General features: G+C 37.9%; 2 protein-coding genes across 10 annotated transcripts in view; one reads left to right on the top strand and one right to left on the bottom strand.

Annotated features, from left to right (window-relative positions):
* RASGRP1 (RAS guanyl releasing protein 1) overlaps window positions 1-15,124 on the top strand; it is a 76,712-nt gene extending 61,588 nt beyond the window's left edge. For 4 of the 9 annotated variants that reach the window (NM_001128602.2, NM_005739.4, XM_047432074.1 and 1 more), the window contains 6 exons: window positions 806-915; window positions 1,940-2,084; window positions 3,088-3,124; window positions 4,281-4,433; window positions 8,460-8,845; window positions 12,539-15,124. In NM_001128602.2, coding sequence (NP_001122074.1) covers window positions 806-915; window positions 1,940-2,084; window positions 3,088-3,124; window positions 4,281-4,433; window positions 8,460-8,845; window positions 12,539-12,673 — 966 coding nt within the window. In that variant the 3' untranslated portion in view covers window positions 12,674-15,124. Of the gene's footprint in view, window positions 1-805; window positions 916-1,939; window positions 2,085-3,087; window positions 3,125-4,280; window positions 4,434-8,459; window positions 8,846-12,538 lie in introns of those variants that run through there. The other 5 variants (NM_001306086.2, XM_047432076.1, XM_047432075.1 and 2 more) reach the window with 4 other exon arrangements.
* The window catches only part of FAM98B (family with sequence similarity 98 member B), a 33,584-nt gene continuing 23,986 nt past the window's right edge, over window positions 15,517-25,114 (bottom strand). The window contains exons 7-8 of the mRNA NM_173611.4: window positions 21,768-21,935; window positions 15,517-18,972 (exon numbers count right to left, since the gene is read on the bottom strand). Of these exons, the coding sequence (NP_775882.2) occupies window positions 18,568-18,972; window positions 21,768-21,935 (573 nt within the window). The 3' untranslated portion in view covers window positions 15,517-18,567. The remainder of the gene's footprint in view (window positions 18,973-21,767; window positions 21,936-25,114) is intronic.

Here is a 25,114-nt window from a genome sequence, read left to right as displayed (position 1 = left end):
CTCAGTTTTGTATGTGGGGTAAAGGGAGAGGAAAGCACAATGGTGGAAATGTAAAGGCACGAAACTTGAACCACTTACTTCTCTTACTGTGGCTTTAGAACAATTCAAAAGTTACATTTTGACAACACACACTGGACTCATATGAAGGCAGTTGTGCCTCCTCTTCAAGACCTAGCAAAAGAGCATATGCTTAAAGGTTGTCAGTTGATTTAGGAGTACAGAAGTATTGGGATGCATTTGAGTATAGTAAGGGGTAATCAGGTAAACCTAAAACTGAAAACCTTTGTACTGCTTAATTCAATTCTCTGTGCTAATTGCTGAGGAAGGGGTATATATTCTCATACTTATGCATGTATCCTCGTGGACAACTCACATGTAACAATGGAAAACTAAGAGCGTAACGGTGAGAAACAAGAGGATTAACAGTGGGGACAGAGCACTTCCAACTGGGCTGTTTGTAGAAGCTTCTCAAAGAAGGTACAACTGGAGCTGAGTGATGAAAAAAAGGGTAGAGTGAAAGGAGAACATCCCTCTGCGCAGTGAACTAGGAGTAGCCAGCGTGATAGTATAATTGACGTGCTAATGATTCAAAGTACATGGCCACCCCCCACATGCTGCTACCAGCAAAGGCCTGAGATGTGACCTGCCACATCTTTGCCACAGCTAAAGGAGCAGGTTTCCCTGTTCCTCTCGTTCAGGTTGTTAAAAGGCTTTTATCCAACTGCCCCAGCTCTTTGTCATTTGACTAAAGGGAGAGAAGACCGGTTTCTCTTTAGTAATCACCAAAAAAACTCCTTTTTCACAGTCTGTCTTCAAGAACTATGATCACGACCAGGATGGATACATTTCTCAGGAAGAATTTGAAAAGATTGCTGCGAGTTTTCCATTTTCCTTCTGTGTGATGGACAAAGACAGGTGAGGGTTTGTACTTAGGAATATGTGGTTATGAGCCCATTGGTGAGAATAGGTTTATAGGTATGTCACTAGAAGAATTTGAAAACTCAGATATGTTGCTGCTGTGATCACTTAAAGAACAGACCATGAAATATGCATTCTTTTAAAAATATTCTGGGCCTGGGCACAGTGGCTCACGCCTGTAATCCCAACACTTTGGGAGGCCGAGGTGGGCAGATCACCTGAGCTCAGGAGTTCGAGACCAACCTGGCCAACATGGTGAAACCCTGTCTCTACTAAAAATACAAAAATTAGCCAGGTGTGGTGGTGGGCACCTGTAATCCCAGCTACTCGGGAGGCTGAGGCAGGAGAGTTGTTTGAACCCAGGAGGCGGAGGTTGCAGTGAGCCGAGATCATGCCACTGCACTCCAGCCTGGGCCACAAGAGCAAAAACCTGTCTCAAAAAAAAAAAAAACAAAAACTGAATTGAACATTCCATAAATCTGCCACTTTATAAATAGTCAACTATAAATAAGAAAAAGTTTAGTCTTCCTTCTTGCTTTGTCATTACAGATTTTGGGAAACAACTAATACTTATTCATACTTTGCATTTTTACTTTTCTCAAGGTTAAATAAATTCTATCTTGGTTCTCTATAGGAAACTAATCATATGGTTAGTGGGTTCCAGTTAGGTACTGTCTAAAGTCAGAAACTGTAGCATAAGACATTTCCCTCCCTATACACATGTACATGTTACATTGTTTCTTTTTCAAGTCTTATAGATAGTGGTCAAGTTAGTTAGGGAAACCTAGTTTGGCCAAAGAACACCTCTGTGGAAATGAGTAATGCTGCCTTACCTACTTACCACATGTCATCTTGTATCCTTGTTAAGAGTAGGGCCCATGGAAGTAATCATGAGGTAGCACATACCATATTACCACTGAGGATAAAAAGAAAGGTGAGTTTCTAAGGCTAGAAGCCCCCCCTTGCTACCTGCCTCCATGCCCCTTATACTCACATCCTTGCCTTGGTCATCTGCCGGCAGGGAAGGCCTCATCAGCAGGGATGAGATCACAGCCTACTTCATGAGAGCCAGCTCAATCTATTCCAAGCTGGGCCTGGGCTTTCCTCACAACTTCCAAGAGACCACCTACCTGAAGCCCACTTTTTGTGACAACTGTGCTGGATTTGTAAGTTGTTCTTAGGGTGCTCCAGGGCTGAATTTGGGGAAGAGTGTGGGATACTTTAAGACAGGCACAGACCTCACAATCCTTATGAACCCATCCCAGCTTGGAGCCCAGACAGACACCTAGAATAACCTAGAGCTCAAGCGTGTGGTTTTTACCTGCACTCATCATCTCTCGCTTCTTCCTGTTTTTTCTTTTCTATTGCAATGAGGCCTTAGATAAATGGTACCAGAAATGCTGAATTAGGATATACTTTTAAAGTATAATATTCATGTGCTGTTTCAAGTGTTATAACAAAGACATATGAGATACCTTCTGTCTTTAGGAGATAACCTTGGCTATGCCCCTCTTCCGTTCCACTCCTGACCAATCGTTTCCCCCTAAACTCGGGTCCTGATGCAAGGCTCTATATCCTTCTCAGTTTGGAGTCCTGAGGAACCTGTTTGCCCGATGATTCATCCATTTCTCGAGAATGTCTGGGTCATAAGGCTGCTAGTGAGAGCCAGGTGTGGTGGCTCATGCCTGTAATCCCAGCACTTTGGGAGGCCAAGGCAGGCAGATCACTTGAGGCCCCGAGTTCGAGACCAGCCCACCTAACATGGTGAAAACCCGTCTCTACTAAAAATACAAAAAAATTTAGCCAGGTGTGGTGGAACATGCCTGGTAGTCCCAGCTACTTGGGAAACTGAGACAGGAGAATTGCTTGAACCCAGGAGGTGGAGGTTGCAGTGAGCCGAGATCGCACCACTGCACTCCAGCCTGGGCAACTGGGCAAGACTGTCTCAAAAAAAACAAAACAAAAAAAACCTGCTTCTTGAGAAACTTTGATCAGCATAAACTCTTCTCATGGATTTAAGGTCAGAAGGGACAAGACATGAGAGATAAATGAGGTTTCCTTCCCACTTGAGCTAGAGAGTAAAATGAAGGAAAATAAAGGAATGTCACCTTGTAGCCTCACACCAGATGGATGAATGACATGTGGTGCATTCTGTCTCTTGTTTCATAGCTCTGGGGAGTGATCAAACAAGGATATCGATGTAAAGGTAAGACTCAATATTGTTGACATATTCCTGGTGTATCAGTCCATTCTCACGCTGCTATAGAGAACTGCCTGAGACTGGGTAATTTATAAAGGCAAGAGGTTTAATTGACTCACAGTTCCACAGGGCTGGTGAGGCCTAAGGAAACTCACAATCATGGCAGAAGGGGAAGCAAACACATCCTTCTTCACATGCTGGCAGGAAGGAGAAGTGCTGAGCAAAAGGGGGAAAAGCCCTTATGAAGCCAACAGATCTCATGAGCAGTCACTCACTATCATGAGAACAACATGAGGGTAACCGCCCCCAGGATTCATTTACCTCCCATTGGGTCCCTCCCATGACACATGGGGATTATGGGCACTACAAGGTGAGGTTTGGATGGGGACACAGAGCTAAACCATATCAGCTGGTCTTAGAGTCCCACCTCTAAAACATTTTTTACCCATAGTAGTTGTCCATTTAGTCCACAACTTCTCAGCATAGTTCAGAGTCTCATCCCCAAAGTGGTTTCCCTCGGACACCCCCGGTGAATGACCGCCACACCGAAGAGAGAAATGCCTGGTTGCACAGATAGGCATTTTCTCTGTATAAAATCCTCTTTCTGTCGTGGCTGGCCTAGAACAGGGATAGCAGGTAGGAGATGGTGCTCTCATATAGTCATGGAAGGGTGGGTCCCCAGTGAAAAAGATAGAATCTCTTCTGCAACAGAAGATAAATGATTACTAAAGGCCCTTGTCAGCTTTCCTTTATCACTCAGGACATAACTGTCCTTCCTTGTGACTAGGAGAATTCAGGAGTGAAAGAGAGGAAACCTTTTACTGCAAGAAAGAAAATAAGACCTAACAGCTGAGTGTTTCCGGAGGGTCTCCCTAGAGTAGGCAGAATGTATGGGATACCAGGACACCATCTCTTCCCTCCAAGATATCAGGATACTGCTTCTGATGCTGAGATTCACTGATAAGGGCTACATCAAGAGTGTGAGCTCTGGGCTTCACCAAGTGAGAAGAATGCTAGCTTCATTAGGAATGTTAAGTGTCTTAGCTCCAGAAGATAGAACAGACATGTGTGACAAGAAAGCACTGCATGAATTTGGTTGTGAGACACACTGGGGAAGAGAGAAAAGTGAAAGACTTCTTGACCCAGGATGTCTTGTCCACAGACTGCGGGATGAACTGTCACAAACAATGCAAAGATCTGGTTGTGTTTGAGTGTAAGAAGCGAGCCAAGAACCCAGTAGCTCCCACAGAGAACAACACTTCTGTGGGGCCAGTGTCCAACCTTTGCTCATTGGGAGCCAAAGATCTGCTCCATGGTAAGTAGGCACTGGGAACATTCATCTTGGAAAGTGAAGTAGGAAGGGAAAAGTTTTAGAGACGGAAAGATTACCTCATGACTCTGTGTTTGAGTTTAAATGTAACCTCAACAGCTAGGCCAGGGCTGACCCCTCCCACAGTTTTGGATTTTAGCTCCATGCCTATGTCTTAGACTTAAGGTGTGAGAATAGCAGAGTCCTAGTTAGGCATAAAAATCAGCAGGTACTTATTGAGCACCTACACCAAGCACAGATACTGACTTCTGGCCAAGATAGTGCCTCAAGTTAACAGTTAACTATCCCACCCTATCCCCAGCTCCAAACCCAAAACAGTGACTAGGGAAAATATGTATGTACATGCATATGTATATGTGTGTGTATATATAATGTAAATTAACATATATAATATATAAATCACATTAAAAGGCATAGTGCATTCAAAAACAGATATCTCAAGGTTACACATGTACTAGAAACATACTGCAAGGAGTAGATGCTAAAGCTACTGGTCTGCTTGGCTGCATGTCTAGAAGCAGGTAGAGGCAGCTGCGAATTTGATTTCTGCATAGTAACAGAGACCACCTATGCGTGAAAGGTGACCAGAACCAGACTTACTGCTTAAAATTGAGAAGGAAAAATCCAATGCTTAAAAAACTGTGACTGTCACTTAGCAGCAGGAAGCAGACTTAGCCACAGACAGAGTTCTACTAGCTGAGTGACTGTCTATGATAGCCCCAATTTTTCTCCAGGAGAGGAACCCCAAGCCATTAATTTAAGACCAGGTCCTAGTCTGAGGAACCCTGAGGGGCCAGGTAGCAGGTAATTGTCAAAATTCTAGAAACAGAAGGCTAAATGTAGAAAGGAAGGGCGGGGGGCAAACTCCCACTCAAGTGGAGCTTGCAGATTAAAATTCCAAATCATACAAGGAAAATCCTAGGACTGAGACAAAACATTCAACATTCAAGAAATAAACTAGCAAATTCACTTACATTAAAATGCAAACAACAGTACAATAAGGAAATGACTTTGAGTATGTTTGAGATGCCCCAGATCTAAAGTGCAAAGAAGCAGAATAGACTGTCTCTGTCTTCATGGAGTAGTTCTAGTTAGGGGGAAGATAATATACAAATATAGAGCAGTTTAGAAACAATGCAAGAGTATATGCTAAGAGCCAAATAGGTTGCAGTGACAGCAAATGACAGGAGGACATAGCAGAGAGATCGCTGTACTGGGGCTGTTGGGACTTTATGGAGAAGGTGGAATTTCAGCTAAGTCTTGAAGGAAGGGTAGAATTAAGTTATGGGAGGAGGACAGAGCACATTCCAGATAGGATGTACAGTAGGAGCAAAAGGCCAAGGGCAGAACAGCTTTAGTACTATTGGGATAGTGGGAAAAAAAAAAAGGTGTTAAGGCGATTTAGGTAAGAGATGAAGTAGAAAAATGAGACAGTCTAGAGAGTCTTAAATGACAGGTGCCTGTCTGTATGATAAAATGAGGAGCTATTTAAAAAAGGGTAACATGAAGGGCTTGTTGGGGACGGTTGGGGCACAAGGCTTCATAGTGCTATACTAGGCCCTGATCTCTGGGCTGGCTGGTTAGCCAGCATGTCAAAACACTGATCACCTTGACTAACTAAAGAACATATAGGTCTTCAGCAAAAATCCAGTGCTTATTAGGTTAGTGCCAGTTTAATATAAGAAGCTGTGTGACTTCTAAGTAGAACCAAAAAGGGAAATAAGAAATGAGTTTATTTATATAAAGCACTTAAAATCGGGCTTAACACGTATGTACCATATGTTAATATCATTACTCTTTTGAAATAAGCTCCCTAAAGTGGTAAGGCCACTATCGTTACAACAGATGCCTAGAGAAAAAGTCCATATAGTATACATTCTGCATTTAAAGCACTTCTAATGTTCAGTGGTAAATATCCACATGCATTTATTGATCAATTAGATCAAAGCTTAAGTGCTTCACTTCCATGTAAGAAATGCACATTCCTTTTTATCACATCAGCCAAGTAAAAATTTTCTGTCTTCCTAAATCTTTCCCCTTACTATCTATCTAAACACAGGCTGACTTCAAACTTTTGGGGTGTTTTGTTCTTAGGGGGAAAAAATCCTCTTAGGGTCTTTTCTAAGAAAGAATATGCTAATCAACTAAGAATTTGATGTTCAACTTTTAATAGAAATCACAAACACCATTGTGAAAAATAGGCCTGTACCCTGTATTTCATTCATGCACTCTGTATTTTCAGAGTTACACATAACCTTAGGGCACCACAATTCTGTCACATAAAATGCAGATTTTCAAGTGGAAAAGACAGCAGAGAACAGCCTGAATCTGAGGCCTCAAAAAGGAATCCCTGAAGGGGCAGTTGTTAGAGATTTCTCCTCTCCAGGCCATCTCTCCCCTTTTCCAAACCCTGCCCCACAGTGGTAAGATAAGTACTTGTCAGGAAGTAGACCAATAGGTAGGATAAACATACATGTATCATGGGCAACAAAATGAAAATTACTATATTATTATAAAGTTGCTAAAAGTCAAGGTCTATTTATAATGGCAAAAATGACTATTGGATATCATCCATTCTTAGTTATTTCTATCTCATTATTATCGGGGATGGTTTCTGCTTATCAAATCAAAATTTCCAGTGATTTCTTTTAGCCCATTACTATCTTTCTCAATCTCATCAACTTTCACTTTCTTGAAACTTGTACCTCTCCTAATTTCTGTTAACACTGTCATCTCTCAGGACTCTTCCTGCAATTTTAAGGGCTTTCTGTTGCTTTTTGTTCTTACTGCTTTCTTCCTTTTGCTCCTCAAAGTGTATAGTGCCTGAATTTCTGTCCCAAGCTCCCTGTATGTCTAGGAATTCAACCTAAATAATGGAGGGGATTATATTCATAATTTGACAATCTAGGTTGGTAAAAAGAATGTATAACTGTATTACAGAAAAGTTGGAAAATGGAGATATAAAAAATAATCACCCATAATACTCCTCCAAAAAAAAAATGTAATTATTTTAGGGTGACCATAACAATTTAAATATTTGAGCACTTAAATAACTATGTAATTACAATTTTGAGCTTTATTGGATAAATATTAAATGTTAATTTAAATTATGTTCTCTTTGGCAAGAATTAAACTAAGATCTTTGTAAGATTTCTAGTTTTACAACTGGTTGATTCTGGTCAAATACTAATTAGAAAACTTTTTTGTTGTTTTTTAAAGCCATCTTGACTATACTAATCCAATGTCTTCAAAGTCAGACTATCCAATGTTTTAATCACTGCTGAGTCTTTCCAAAAAGTAAACTGAGATGATCTTCAGTTTATCTTAAAGCCTATCTATCGCCCACCTCAAATACATCTGCTCTTACTTTACTTTTCCAGGAAATTACTCCTTATGGCTAACATTACTAGGCTGGATCCTGGGTAGTGGGTCTTAGTTAAAGAAAACCAGAGTAACTTACCTTTTTCCTCTCAGTATCAAACAGGGGCAATACATTTTAAGGTACATTTCCACAAAGCTAAAACTTCTTTCTCATGGTTAAGCTGTGCCCACTGTACAAACGGGTTCCCAGAGAGTACTTACCTGCTAGAGGGTGTCTGTATCAGGACTGAGACATGAATGTGGAGAGCTCCCAAATTCCAGGGTCCAAAAAAGTATTTATGGAGCATTTCTGTCTAGATATTGTTCTTGTTCTCTTTATTTTATGAAACTCTGTGGCACTGAGGCAGGGGCTTCAACTTACCTCCAAAAACAGAAACCCTCTAAGCAACCTTTGTGCAAACAGAAGATGCTCTTTCTCAGGGTGGATGTAGCTTGACACCAGTGGCCATGTCTTGGCCAAAGCCCCTGGATTTAGCCCTCACCCCCTAAACTGGGTGCCTGAAAATGGGTCCTCTTTGAACATATGGAACTCCAGTAACAATAAGAAAGGTCTCATTGAAACTAATGTCTCAGTCTTGAGTCTCTGCTTTCCTGAGCTAGAGTACTAGCATGTCCTGTATCTTCCTACAGCACCTGAGGAAGGACCTTTTACATTCCCTAATGGGGAGGCTGTGGAACATGGTGAGGAGAGTAAGGATCGGACCATCATGCTGATGGGAGTGTCCTCACAGAAGATTTCTCTTCGGCTGAAGAGGGCTGTTGCCCACAAGGCCACCCAGACTGAATCACAGCCTTGGATTGGCAGTGAGGGCCCTTCAGGTCCCTTTGTGCTGTCTTCCCCAAGGAAGACAGCCCAGGATACTCTATATGTGCTTCCCAGTCCCACCTCTCCATGTCCTAGCCCAGTCTTGGTCAGAAAGCGGGCTTTTGTCAAGTGGGAGAATAAAGACTCCCTCATAAAATCAAAGGAGGAGCTCCGTCACCTCAGACTGCCTACCTACCAAGAACTGGAACAGGTACCTTCCTTTTCATTTTCCTTTTTTTCAGACTATCTTAGAGAAGTGGGGCCAAACCAGGAAAGAGCATGTGGACTGAAGATTCAGATCAGGCTGATTACAAGCAGTCTAAAACAAAAAAGGAGGAGGGGAGAAACAGGGAGGGAGAAACAGGGAGGAAGAGAGGGAGGGAAGGAAGAAAGGATGATTGATTCCAGCTTTCTCACAACCCACTGGGGGCCTTGGTTCACATTACACAAGTAGCACAGGCTATACAGGGCTCCCTATCACCACACAGGTGGTGGCATTTCAGAGTGCTGGTGCCAGTGCCCAAAGCCCTGTTTAGTAGGCTCACAGAGAAAAACCACAGTATCTACTGGTTAGCTTTACTGTGCTGATACCACTCCTTTTCTAGATGGAACTAAAATGAACTTGCCTAAATCCTCCTTCCCTAGAGGTCTCTTTAACATGTTCATCAGGGTTATGGTTTAGGATCATCATGGTTACCTAAGCATCTTCCTAAGAGAAGTTAGTGATCTTAGTCCTATAGCAACAACAACAAGAGAAAGGTGAGTGTATTGTGGCTCACCATAGAAAACGCCTCCCTCCTAAATATAAACGAAGAGAATCTTTTCTAACACATCAGGGAATATGCTGATCTTTTACACATATTAGAATAGTGAAAGCAACAGTAGCAGGCAAACACACAGTGGAATATAATATAGAGCAATATAATCTATAAAATGTTAACAATCATGACAAGAGGAGCTGCTTTTCAATGTTAGGCTCACAATGTCCTAATTATCAGGTACCTAACAGAGACAATGGAAAAGACAAAATAAAGTTTACCAAGGAAAGGAGACCAAGAGTTTGGAAACATGGTGCCAAGGTTTGAGAGAAGGGAATAATGACATTAAAAACAGGAAAATAGGGCTGGGCGTGGTGGCTCATGCCCCCAGCACTTTGGGAGGCAGAGGTGGGTGGATCACTTGAGGTCAGGAGTTCGAGAGCAGCCTGGCCAACGTGGTGAAACCCCGTCTCTACTAAAAATACAAAAATTAGCTGGGCATGATGGCAGGTGCCTGTAATCCCAGCTACTCAGGAGGCTGAGGCAGGAGAATCACTTGAACCCGGGAGGTGGAGGTTGCAGTGAGCTGAGACCAAGCCACGGCACTCTAGCCTAGGCAACAGACTCCATCTTAAAAAAAAAAAAAAAAAAAAAAGGCCCGGCGTGGTGGCTCACGCCTGTTATCCTAGCACTTTGGGAGGCCAAGGTGGGCGGATCACGAGGTCACGAGATCAAGACCATCCTGGCTAACACGGTGAAACCCCATCTCTACTAAAAATATAAAAAATTAGCCAGGCGTGGTAATGGGCGCCTGTAGTCCCAGCTACTTGGGAGGCTGAGGCAGGAGGATGGCATGAACCTGGGAGGCGGAGCTTGCAGTGAGCCGAAATGGCACCACTGCACTCCAGCCTGGGCGACTGAGTGAGACTCCAACTCAAAAAAAAAAAAAGCGGGTGGGGAGGAGTAGGAGACGGGAACAGCAGAAGGAAAAAGAGCCAACAGCCAACTGTCAAGATACTCAATTCTGAAGGTTCAATCATTACTATACTTCTTTTTGTTTCGAGTACAGTACACAACTCACAGGGCTGGCTCAAGAGGTTACCTATAATTGGTAAGAACCTACAAATGGTAAGAAACTACTGTCCCATGGCATAGTAGTTTCTTAATTATAGATAACTAAGCCATTTTAGAGACAGGGAAGCAAGGATACGTTAATATCAACACTACTATTCACTTTATTACAGGAGGAGGAATGCCTTTCTGGCTTTTCCCAAAAACATCAAGGTTTGCACTGTGTTTTTGGAGACCTGTCAGTGCAAACACAAAACCAATATCCAGCTAGTAGAATTCCTTATATAATTCTACATTCTACAGACTGAAAAACTGTCCACGAGGGCTTCAGGATTCCCTGCATTGTCCTCAATGCTCTACCTTCCCTGTCAGACCCCCAGAAACTGAATTAGAGAAACATCTGAAGAAACAAGTTAGATAACGTATGTGGAACTCTTGATTTGGTGCTTGGTACAAAGAACATAATATTAAGAGAAACATACGAAAAAAGAACAACAGATTTTCTGGATGAATGGTACTCTCTTGCTCAGAGTTATTGTTAAGATGTGCTGTAAAAACCAAGTCAATGAGAAGGTGGCAAAACGTGGGTTAGACAAACCCCTTCCTCTTTAGGGATAGAAACTGCCAAATGCAACTTCTAAAAATGATGAAAGAAACCTCGAAAAATGAACTCGGTAGAATAGAAAGAACTTTGGTCTTGGAGGCAAAGATTTGTGTTTTCAGTCCCAGACATTTCTTACACCAGCTGTTAAACTCTACAGCCTATTTGGTCCTTGTGAAATACAGGGCTGGGATTCCATGTTCTGAAAGGTTTGCCTCAAATCTTGACATTTTACATGCCGATGAAAAGGAAAAATGTGGTTGGCAACAATGCTTTAAGAAGTGGCTCGCAGAAAGATTAGAATTCCTACTCAGCAACATCAGAGCCAGTAAACCCTCTCACCATTTTGACCACCGCCTCTCTTTACTTTTTAGGCTTGTCAGATAGACCTAAGGTCCAGAATTCACTGTGTGTATTTTAGAGGAACAATTATGTGTCCCACTTTCCCATTAAGTATAATCCTTACAATGACTAGTCTATGTGTAATTCAACAGTCCTATCCATAATAACTAGTCAAATTAAATCAGTATTTACAATATATAACGTATATTAATAAGAATAAATATTATGTATTATTTTAAGTATAATGTACCACTGAACCAGCATGGGACAAAAGAATAAGCAAATAAAAGCTTTTATGTTTAGATATACCAAGGCTCAACTCTGCAGTTTTATACTATACGGCAACATTTGCCTTTATAAGATTGAGGTATACAACCTATTTTCAGGGTGTTTGTGTAGGTTAAGGCAGTCCATTATGTCACACAGCGCAGGCACATAGCAAGTGCTCACTATTATATGGCAGCTGAGACAGCTATGTAGATAATTCAGATTGAGAAACAACCCAGTGTATCCCAAATTACCCAGACACTGTCTATATATAATATTCTCTTGGAGTAATCAGTATAGGATAACATAAGAACACTGGACTCAAAATCAGAAGACTGGAAATCAACTGTTGGCTCTATAATGATACCACTACAAATTAGACCACTAAATCTCAACTTAGGGGTGGGGTGAAATTCTTAACATCATCAAAAAGTTAAATTTGTTTTCAATAATTTGTGGGGGGGAAACTTAGATAAAATTAACTAACACCTTGCATTACAGAATTCTCAGTCATGCTTTCATGGCTCAGACCTGACCAGAGACTGTTTCTGCCAAGTTGAGATCTCCCGCGAGAAAACATCCAAAAGTTTTGTCATTATCTACCTATTGCTCGGAAATGGTTTATTCTGCCTGCTAACCACTCACAAACTTTGATATGATAACAAAGACTAACTGCTGCTTACAAATGCTCGTTTGATATTTAACTTGCTATTTTCTATTCAGGGCAAAATAACTATCTTGAAAATGGTTGTTAATTCTCAGCCACAGTGAATAGGAAATGCCAATCAAAAGTAGCTCTCAATTTGTAATTCATTTGCTATTCATTGCTGCTTTATTAACATACCTCATTCTCCTTTCCCTTTAGGAAATAAATACTCTGAAAGCAGATAATGATGCCCTAAAGATCCAACTGAAATATGCACAGAAGAAAATAGAATCCCTCCAGCTTGAAAAAAGCAATCATGTCTTAGCTCAAATGGAGCAGGGTGACTGTTCTTAGCCCAGAAACTAAGTAGCACAATCTGTAGATGAGTATAGTGATCTCATTTCCTAAACTGTAATGCACAGACCTGAGGAACTTTACACTGACCAGCTTTAAAACAGTACTTTAAAAGGAAAAGCCTGTTACTGTTTATTTACCTAAAAGATTCCTAATGTGCAGCACTGTTTTCTCTTTCAGTTAGTTGACTCAAAGGGGGAAAACTAAAGAATGCAAAACTTTTGCTATTCATACCACTGATGTTCATCAAAAGTATGCGATCTAAAACATGACTATCATTTCCTGACAATGGGGCATCTCGGTGGCCTGCCTGGCTGATTCTTCCTTAAAACTAAAATCTCTGGAAAATGGATTTGCTTCTTACCCTGTGTTTTCTGCAAACTGACTTACTTTGTTCCAGCCAAAGCTTGCTAATAATAGAAAACTACCCATATTCCAAAAGTAGATTTCCTCTGTATCCCAGCATACTTTGTGAACCTGGCTCCTTCTTCACTACCTCAGATCTAATCAATTAGTCCATGTACCCTCCTTCCTCACTACAGTCATAACACATGAGCATATCTACCTAGAAGCCAATTTCTACTGATGTAGCCACAACTTTTTAGAGGCCTATTAAACATGACGTTATCCAATTGCAGGTCAACTTATAGTTGTAGCCTTACAACTTACAGGCATCAGAAAATAAGTAATCAAATTAGGTACCTGGAAACATAGCTATTACCATCTCATATTACTGTCTAATTAAAATAAACATAACGCAAACATGTTTGTCCTTATATATTCTACAGTGGATAGAATTAGGAATTGATGGCTTAAAAAAAAAAGTCTATGAAGAGTCTGTTTAACTCTTCATGTTCCATCTTTCTCTTCTGAAGTAAACTATTTTGAAAGTTCTCTTTTTGAAATGAATTTGTGCTTAACTGTCTTCACTATTAATACTATTTAGAAATAAGCTAATTGGATCAGTGGCTTAAATAATAGCTGACTGTGTGTACATATGTATATAATATGTATATACAATATCAGGCATGCATGTGGCTTGGAATTTTGTTTCCTCCATAAAATGTGGAAGTGAATTAAACAAGTTTTAGTCATTTATACAAAGTCACAAATATAAAGTTCAGTTTGTCACAAGATTAAATTGCTCACAAGGTAAAATTGTATTGTTTGGCAAAATCACAAGTAACAATCCTGTGAGTTTTCTATTATGAAGGTTAATAATAAATGGGCTCATTTAGTTGCCTGGGCACCTATTCACAAATTCATTTGTCAGCCTCTTTTTAGTTCTCTTAAAAAAAAAAAAATCATATGATCATTTTCCTTTTTGGGGGTACTTAGCTTCCATGCCTATAAAGTCTGGTACCAGACTGACTTGAAATTCATAAACAAGTTGTCCAATTGCCAAGAATATGTTAACAATTAAAAGTTCCAAACTAAAGCCAATAGCACCAAGTCTTCATAAGAATACAAAGTATACATACAGTATTGCTTACCTGGAGGATTCAGATCATTTAGGAATTCTCTTTGATGAAAGATCAGTTCCCATTTGAGTTCCTCCTTGCACTGAGTTTTAGTGATATAGAACTAGCTTGTAGTTAGTGTTTCATTACATTATAAAGAATAGTTTTACACACGTATTTACCGTTTTCCAAATTTAAACTCAGAAATACCCAAAGCAGGCCTGCTTAAGCCCACTACCTGGCATATAAACTTATAGTAACACTTTGTTACTTTCTTTTTAATAGGACAAGCATGAGTTAGGACAAACTCTAAAAATTCATATTCTTCACTATTCTTGTTTTCCTTTGATTGATATAGACCAAAGATGGTGTACTCTAATTTTTTAAAACAGTAATGGAACACAATTTTTTTCATTCTTCCTCCTCTCCATTCGAAGTAAAGATCCCCAGTTAGTTTTTATATAAATAATCTATAGGGATTCAAAAGGTGTCACAGTCCACTTAATTAGTCAAATTAGCAATGGCTAAACAGTATCAAGTACTGCAGAATTTATCACTGAAATGGATAAGAGGAAATAGTTTAGTCACAGGTTTTTACAGTCCAGCAAGGGCCAAAGAGGTATAGTATACAAGTTAATAGTATTTGTGTTGAGCAACATGGGGCTAGTGGGATCACAGAAATCTGGAAAAAAAAAAAAAAGGCTTTGGCTTATCAAGCCTAGTGTAAATTTCTGCATCTCACACGACTTTAGTTTGGCCAGGTATTTATCTGCCAAAACAAGGACAAATCTTGTTGTATTAACAGCAGGGTCACTTCTCATTTTCTTTGCTGACTTACCTTTTTACTGACCGTTGTGAATTTCTGTCTCAAAATGTATAATATAGAAATGCAAGAAAAAAACAAATGTACAGATTGTAAAGTTTTTTGATACCTAATGTAAGTTTTCTTTGTGTAATATTTATATGATAAAAGACATTAGGATCCCTACAACACAAATGTCTTGTGTTTCTTCTGCTTCGTGACCCCGTAAACACTTTACCTGAATTTTTCCTATATTCCACAGCTAAGACCACTGCCCTATTCTATTAATCAAATTGAGTTTTCCTGGAAGGAAAGGCAAAGCAGCTATTCAGTTTAAAATTTTCTACATCTTTTTACAACACGAAGAAGTAACACTACAGAAATATTCAATCTCTTTCCATCTTATTCATAACTTACAGTGGTCCCCAAATATTAAGTCTATAAATACTTAACATTAAAGGAGACAGACTTGAGGTTGTCCCTTCTCTGTGGCTTTTAATTCCACAGTTTCATCTAAGCAAACTAGCATGTAAAGAAGAAATCCTTTGAAGCTATGGATAAAATTGGTAACGACAGCTCAATCCAGGTTACAGACCTACTCAGGGCAATTTATTTGTGGTCATGATTATTTAGAATGATCAGACATAGCCACAATTTTCCCTTAATCCCCAGCTAATTTTTGTTTAACCACACCAATGAAGAAAGAGGAAAAATTTCAGTCACTCAAATTCCTCTGTGGAATGCATTCTGGAACATTTAGATGGGGGTGTATTTATCATTTGGGCAATTCATAATACTTCATACAAAGTAATAAAGTCACACTGACAGCCTGATCCTGAAGGCAAGATTAAACTGCCTGCTCACCTTCCCCAATTTTCATCCCCACATTTCTCTAACCTGTGCTCCTTCCAAGGTATAGATAGTATCACTGCTCAGGACATTTTTCTGGTCACAAATTTTTTTTAGGTTGTCATGCCTCCTCTTGTCACAGATACAGGTAATAAGATGTTTTTTATTTAAAATGTTTTCCTTTTTCTGTTTAATGAGGCAAGGTTTCCCTGATCTGCAAAACAAAAGTAAGTTCAAAGAAAACCCTTGTTTCCCTTTTGATGTGTGCTTATGAGTAATAGTGTGGTGATTATGTTATAGACAGAATACATGCTCTTTATACGGTCGAGAGGAAAGATGACTACTTTAGGCAGAAACTCCCAGTAAGATCATGTCTATATTTGCTATTAGGTACCAGGCTGGACAAAAAGAGAAGAAAAAAGGGGAAGGACAATGAGGTAATTAAAAAATGAAATTGAGAACCAGGCAAAAAAGAATGAAAAGGAGGTATCAAAAAAAGTGTTGGATTTTAGGAAGCAGTGGAGTGCCATTCATCATACTCCATGTCGTATTGCACTCAATTTATAAAACATTTTCACACTATGGCCTTTCCCATTAAGGCCCCAAATTTCCTTCCTGCTATTCCAGATACTGCTCAGCAAACTGTTCTACAAAAGAAATTTTTACTGAACAAAGATTATCAGGAAAATCCCACCTTACAGGAAAGAGTAAAATATTAAGAGTCTACCTGATTCAGCTTTTCATTCAATTAAGGTTTATAGGAATGTGTACATAGGAGTGGTTTCAGCTCCAACACGATTCCAGGAGCAAGTGCTAAACTTTGATAGGAAATAAGTGATTGTAGTGAATAACCCAAGCAGCACTCCTATAAAGGTACAAAGAAATCTTATGGAAAATCTAATGAAACTGATAAACTATTGTTTCTGCCATATTTACCATAAACCTTTAGTGGTAAAAAAGTTGAAAGTAGTTGTAAATCTCCTTCATCAGCAACTAATGCTACCAAAAAAGAAGTGAGGCAGAAATGTAAAGGTTTTAAAGAAGATTTTTAAACAACTCTTGAAATATTTTACTCAAGTAGTTTTTTTCTTAAAAGTTTTTAAAAATTATTTTTCAGAGTTCATAGCTACTGATAAAGGTATTTTCTTAATTATGGAAAGCCTTTTTTTCAGCTATCACAAATGAAATTACATCTTTTCATTAAATATAAACACACAAAAAATAAATTTACAAATAACCAAAAAATTTTATATTTTCCTACCTTGAACACATTTCTTCAAAGGGTTAGCTTGAAAAATACATGTCTAAGATTACAGAATATTCAATAGTTACTTTTAGGGTTTTAACATTATTTTAGATTTTACCACAGAGTTTACCAAAAAAATAACAACAAAAAAACCTGCTAAACATCAAATACCACTTGTCCACTGGGAACAATTCAGCTTTCTATCAGTTGAGTTGGTTAGATCACATTAAGTTGTTATGTATAGGTATTGACCAGAAGCCTACAATGAGATACAGATTTTACACTAAGATTGAAAAAATTTATGGTACCAGCTCTTTTTCTCTTAACTTTCTACACTAAGAGAAAAATACATTACTTGGCCTACATCTTAAAGCATTCAAAATAGGCCCTCTGTAAGTTTTTAACAAATTGTATTTGTATTTAGGTCTTTAAGAAACAACCTGAGATGATGGTAAGTGTCTCATTCCTCATTTGACAAATGAGGACAAATCACTCCTTGAGAACTAAGGTCATTTCAATCCATAGCACCCCTGACCTAGTGCCATGATTCAAATTCACAACTCTTGATAGCTAAGACTTTGACTGCTCCAACTAGCAAATCACATATAGCCATTCCCTAACTTTGTGTTTCCCAAATCTAGCTGTGAATCAGAATTACCACAGGATGCCTTAGCCCTACCCTTGATCTACTGAAGCAGAAAATTACTGCCTTAATTCTGTGTGATACAGGTCAGCCTGCCTTTTAATATTTGGATATCTAAAGTGAGAGCATAAATGATGAAGAGACCAGTTTATAGGACTATTTCTCACACCGTCATGTAAAGTTGGTATGTGTCTTTGCTCCATTAAAGTATTTCTGACCTCAATCTTAAACTTTGCTTTGTCAAACAAAATCATGCTGATTTCAAATCCAATTAGAAAATAAGTATGTACAGTAAAAAGTAAACTTGGGCTTCAATTAATGAAACTTTAACAGAAACATGGCTAGAGAGGAATCTCCTCCTATAAGAGAAAAAAATGATTCACAACAACTGCCTACTAAATACAACTGGAAGTGCCTTTCCCTATTTTGTAAAATCGAATGAAAAACCCACAAAACACATCCACAGCAATACAGGTGAGGCAAGGGTCTATATTCCTTTCTATTACAGGTGGGGTCTTTTATATGTCTCAAACCTGAACAAAATACAGGTAACAATCTAAATTCAATCATGACAATAAAATACTTTCCATTTTCCAAGTCTGATGGTAATAAATATTTACATTTTAAAAAATAATTTTTGTTCTTTTTTTTGTTTTTTAAAAAGACACAACATGCTCAAGGGTACACAGAATATGGAAAAAGTCATCACTTCATTTGAGAGATCAACTGGTAATAAAAAACAATGTTCTTACATATTAACCAATTCAAGAGTGGTATCACCAGGGAGTCTAACATGGTGTTTACTTCAAAGATGATATTCAAGTATGTTATTTGGAACACTATTTCTAATGTATCTATAAAGAAGCAAGCACTGCTATCTAATTTTTATAGTTTTTAGTATCTTCTATATCCACCTCCTCCACCACCACCACCACCACCACCACCACCTCCTCCATATGGATCTCCATAGCCTCTTCCACCATAGCCCCCTCTTCCACCATAACCCCCTCTTCCACCATAATCTCCCCTGCCTTGGAAACCTCCTCTACCACCTCCTCCTCCTCCCCCCCACCCTCCTCCCCCTCCCCCACCACCTCCCCAACCTCCTCCTCCACCCCCCCAGCCACCTCTCCCACCCCCACCCCCACCACCTCCTCTACCACCACCTCCACCACCACCACCCCAACCACCCCTTCCACCGCCGCCTTCTTGTCTCTTTTGCCAAGGGGGCATTTCTGGAGGTGGTGGTTCAATTTCATTCGGCCGGCCTCCCCTGTCAGGCACCCTTCCCATCAGCACCTGTGTGAAGAAACATTTTCTTTTAGTTCCTAATATTTCAAAAAAGTTTACATAAAAGTTTCAAGTGATGTTGTTTCTAATAAACAGAAGCCAATATTTAAGGACATGAAAGTACCAGACATGGCAGAACAAATTAATATTAAAAATATTAAGTGTGGAAGGATAAGGAGAAATCTGTTAAAGGATACAAAATCACGGCTAGACAGAAGTAATAAATTCTAGTGTTCTATACCATTGTATGATGACTGTAGTTAATATATAGTTTCAAATAGCTACAAGGAGGATATTGAATGTTTCCAACACAAAGAGATGATAAATGTTTGAGAGGGATATGCCAATCACCCCGTCTGATCACTATACATTGTATGTATCAAAACATCACTATGTACCTCATACATATGTACAATTATGGTGTTTCAATTTAAAAAATAATTTTTTTACTTCCTGTTTACCAAGTCTGAAGAAAAAAGAAAAAAATGAATGGTTTTAAAAAGGAAATATGAAAAAATATAAAATGTGTGATACATGACAAATTCCTTAGTGTATATATATATATATATATATATATATTTTTTTTTTTTTTTTTTTTGAGATGGAGTCTTGCTCTGTTGCCCAGGCTGGAGTGCAGTGGCATGATCTCAGCTCACTGCAAGCTCTGCCTCCTGGGTTCACGCCATTCTCCTGCCTCAGCCCCCCGAGTAGTTGGGACTACAGGCACCCGCCACCACGCCCAGCTAATTTTTTGTATTTTTAGTGGAGACAGGGTTTCAACGTGTTAGCCAGGATGGTCTTGATCTCCTGACCTCGTGATCCGCCTGCCTCGGCCTCCCAGAGTGCTGGGATTACAGGCATGAGCCACCACACCCAGCCTAGAATATATTATTTTTAAACAATCTGAGAGAGTATTTCTGAAACTTAAAGGCTTAATTTTTTTCTCACTTAAATTTGTTTAGCAAATTCTGTAACAAATGTAGTACCCATTTCACTAAGAAGTTCTTTTAGGAAAACATTTTTTATATATATAACGACATACCTTACATTCATTAACTTAATATCCATTTATACAATAACAACTCTGGACTTTCCATTGCCATTGATTTGGTAATTGATTATCCAATAAAAGATTATATTCCTAAGCACATTTCATTTCAAAAATGTATGAAGTACATATAACATGGGACCTTAATGAGGTCAGAGATTGATATAAAAACTATAATTCCAGGTATCACTGCAAAGAGAGAGAAGGATTCTCAATGAACTGCTTCTTTTAAGAAACTTAAGCTCACTTACTTTCAGTGATGATACTAGTACCATATTATTAAAAGGAAAACACAGTTAATATAATTCCTTTACTATGCTTTATAATCCTTTCAAAAATAAACTAGGGAAGAGTTTAAGTATCCAACCTTCTATAAAAAGTAGCAGCTTTATATGCCATGAGCAGAGGAAAGATAGCAATAAGAAGGGTGTCATCTGCTCACCACAGACAAGGGGAAGCCAATAGCTTCCTGCTACTGCCTTTCAGGAAAGAAAGTAAAAAAGCAACTGCCTCAACCAAAATGACCAATTAATTATACACTTCCATTGATCCTCCAATCAAAACCAAGTTTAGGATTTATGTCACAAATGAAATATAAAAAGTGCAATATCCTCAAAGTGAGACAAGGTTCTAAGTATGCAACATTCTTTTAAAGATGGCAATGATGTCCTAACTACCAAATCCAAAAAACAGCCTTTCTTGGTTATTATTCTCACTGGTCTCTCTACCAAACATGGTATGTTGGTGGGCATATGGAGATGCCAGAACTGATCATAAGACTACCCTCAAATAATGAGACCATAAATTATAAACTCAGAAGAGATGGCCAATGTTACTTACAGAAATAGAACTCTTGATCCAGCAAGACTAAATTATCACCCAATGCAAGATGTTAGGTAATATATTTAAAGAGAGAACACTTTCAGAACATAGGATTGAGCCACAGTGGAAGCACAGAGGCAAACACTGGTGATGCCTAACTTAGCAATAGTTAGCAAAATGACTTTAAAAACAACCATCCCTCTGAAAAGGTATTTTATCTCAAGTTACACTGAGTGAGAAGCGATGCTTTAAAATTATCCAAATCCCTTATTTCTGATTTTTTGCTCTTTTGTAATAAAGTTTGCCATGGAGTGCTCTACCTAAATGAAGAGGACATGCCAGTTAAGCTGACATAAACATACTAAATTACTTTATTGTTATTGCTGTTGTAAAGTGAAAAATTCAGACTCCTTGAGCTTGTTTAAATAGACTACTGTCAGAGAAATGGATGTATACTCCAAATCAGGAAACAGAAGCTCAAAGAAGTTCAGTAGCTTGCTCAGGGTCATTTCTGTAAGTAAATGACAGAGCCAGGATGGGAACCCAGATTGGTCTGACTCTAAAGCACAAACTCTTCTTCCCTTTACACCAAGGATATAACGAATCTGTCAGTACTTGAAACAATTCCGAAAGATTCTTACTGACAAAAAATGATTACTTTTTAGAAAGATGGAACATAATTCTTGCTAAAGCTTTGACAAAAACAATTCATAATTCCTCTAATTCAGAAAATACTTTGATTTATGAATACACAAATTCAAGTGAACATACACACATACACAAAAATAACATAACTAAGCCTAGACTGAACCCCCCTGCCACTCTTTTTTCTAAACATTTACCAGGACATGAAAGAAAAATAGACTAAAATCTGTAAAAACATTAAGTAAGATATCATCAATTCATTTTCCACTGTACTGAAAGAAACACCAACCTTATTAATGGCACATGCGGTCTTCTCCCGGCTGGTGCCACTACTTGTCCTAATGATCTTGGATAGATCTTCACGAGCAGCAAGTAGATGTGCCATTGTAATCGTTGTCTTGGGTGACAAAGCATAACGCTTAGGCTGATAAATTCTTGCTATATCATCTGTTTTTACCTAAATGACAAGAGTTAAGGAAAAAAGGAACAAAAGTACATTTTAATGAAAGAGCAAAAACAATCATAATCTTTAGAAATAAAGAAAAGGAGATAATGCATAAGCAAGGAGTTAGAAAAGAGCAAAAACACCCAAATATCTGAGAATTTATGAATAATTTAGAACAAATAAAATAGACCAACAGGTGTTAAAAATATGTAACTACCAGCAACAACTCGCTAAAAAATAATAACAAAAAAATTTCTATACATATTAACAAAAAATACCTAAAAAATAGTTTTACCAAAACCACATACAGGACATTTAAAAGGGAAACATCAGTAAATCTTGCAAAAACAAAAGGAAAACTTGTATAAATGGTAAGAAATACCAAGTTTCTGTATGGGAACATTAAGTATTATTGTCAGTTTTCCCCCAAATTAACTTATAATCCTATATAAATAGTTTTTGAGAGAATGAAAAAAAAATCTAAAGTTAAATCCAGAAACTCAATATGTAAGAATAACTAAAAGCATTTTGAAATATAATCCTACCAAATACTAATATGCTATAATACAAAATTATCATCATCTTATCAGTTAACATTTAATGAGAACTTATTAAATGTGCCAGGATGCTGTTCACTTAGTAAGGCATTATTTCTTTAATCCTCAAAATATCCTTTTAGAGTGGTTGGTTTTTATTATCCCCTTTTGCAGATGGAAAAAAAAAATGAGGCATAGAAAGCTTAAGTTAGTTTCCCCAAAATATAGAGAGAATCCTAGCTCTGCCCACTTAGCAACAAAGGTCTACCTGACCCCCAAGCACAGGTCTAGTATAGATAACAGTTTGCTATCCTACCTCCATCTAATTAACTAGAACTTGGGAGAAAAAAACATAGATTGATGAAATAGTATATTGAGACTCAGAGCCTCATAAATCTATGAATGCAATAAATGATAAAGGAGACATCACAGATCAACGAGAAAAGGAAAGGATTATCTTTTAAATGGTGCTGGAATGACCTGGTGGCTATCTGTAATAATAACAATAATACAGCACACCATATAACAAAGGGAATTCCAAAGAGAACAAAAAGTTAACTGTTTGAGGTTTAATTTTCAATTTAAAAACAACTACATTATAAAAATTAAAATTTCTGTACTTTAAAAGATATAAAACAACATCTAATGACAACTGGGGAAAATATTTTCAACAAATAATTCAACCAGCAAACTTCCTTTCTATATAAAAACCTCAAACACAAAAAGAAAACAGAATTTTACAGGAAAAAAAAATGACAAGACATAAATAGAAGTTAAAAAGAGGAAATTCAAATGACTAATAAGCTTATGAAAACAGTTCAACTTTGTCAATAATAAGAACAGACAAAACAAGTTAGTCTTTTTAACATCAAGTTAGCAATAAAGAGGCTAAAGTGACACAACATTTCATTTACCTTACTGGAAGGAGTTTAAATTCATATAAACTTAAGTGGAAAACAATTTGGCCATGGGAAGCGAGAGCATTAAGAGACAAAACCTTTGACACAGTAAATTTCCTTTAAGGAATCCACCATAAAATTTTACTCTGAAATTTATATATAAAAATTAAACACAGAAACATGCCTGGTATTGTTAATATAGAAAAAAATGTATAAAATAAGAGAAGTAAACTATTGAATCACTAAATGATAAAATATAATGCAGCCATAAGAAGGATACTGAAAGAAATTTAGTACTGTTACATGCTATGACATGAATAAACCTTGGAAACATTATGCTAAATCAAAGCCAGATGCAGAAGCCACATATTGTATGATTCCATTTATATGAAATGTCCAGATAGGCAAATCCATGGAAATGTAAAGTATATTATAGTAATGGTTGCCAGGGCATGGAGGTAGGGAATATTGGGAATGACTGCTGAGAGGTAGCTATGTCATTTTGGGATGATGGAAGTGTTATGGAATTACATATAGGGTTACACAACACAGTGAACAGACTAAAAACCACTGAATTGTACACTTTAAAATGGTATATTTTGGCCAGGCACAGTGGCTCATTCCTGTAATCTCAGCACTTTGGGAGGCTGAAGTGGGAGCATTACTTGAGGCCAGGAGTTTGAGACCAGCCTGGGCAACATGGCAAAACCCTGTCTCTATAAAAAATAAAACAAAATTTTTAATTAGCCAGGTGTGGTGGCACACGTCTGTAGTCCCAGCTGCCTGAGCGAAGGCCACAGTGGGAGGATCACTTGACCCTCCAGTGAGTTGCAGTGAGCTATGATGATGGCACTGCACTCCAGCCTGGGCAACAACAAGACTACAACTCAAAAATAAAAATAAAATGGTAAATTTTATGTTAATTATATCTCAAAAAAATTAAGAGTTAATTTTAAAAAGGGTACTAAAATAGAGTTTTTAGAGATATTGGAAAATGGTTACAATATATTTAGTGAAAAAGCAAGCTATAAAATTACATTCACAATATTATCTCAATACTAGTAAAACAGTGAAGAAAAGAAACTACATAACCTTTCTAATAAATGACTATAATCTGTTTGAAGGGCAACTCTGGAGTATGCATCAACAGCCTTAAAATCATTTCCCTTAATCAAATAGTTCACTTTTAGGAATACATCATGGACATGAACAAAAATTTAGCTGTCAAGGATTTTATTACAGGGTCAAAGAGGCAAAATTAGAGAAAACCTCAGTGTCTATGAATACAGTATATATATGCATATAATAAAATACTGTGCAAAGATTTAAACTGCTGTAGAACAAAGTTGATGACAGTCACTCAACAATATCAGACGTATTTTTCTATCACGAAAATAGGGAGAAAATGATAAAGATATAATAAATTCAACAAGAAAACTTAGTATACAAATGCATATAATCATATAATCAATTGAAAAAGACCAAATGAAAGGCCAAAACTGATCCATGCATAGTCTAAGGAAAATATATTTTTAAAAACCTTCCCAAATAAGAAAAAAACAAAAACACAAACTCCTTGTCCTAAAACATGAAGAAAAAAGACCAACATGAGAAGATAAAATATCAAGATATTTCCTAAAGGAATATTTGCTCAAAGCTCCCATTTAAGTCCAGTTCAGGGGTCAAACATGCCCATGAATCTATGTCACTGAATGTTGAAAGAATATATCAAAACTCACTTATTTTGGATTTCTCT

Source organism: Homo sapiens, chromosome 15 (assembly GCF_000001405.40).
Source record: "Homo sapiens chromosome 15, GRCh38.p14 Primary Assembly".
NCBI classification, from domain to species: Eukaryota; Metazoa; Chordata; class Mammalia; order Primates; family Hominidae; genus Homo; species Homo sapiens.
This window is presented reverse-complemented; position numbering and strand designations above follow the sequence as displayed.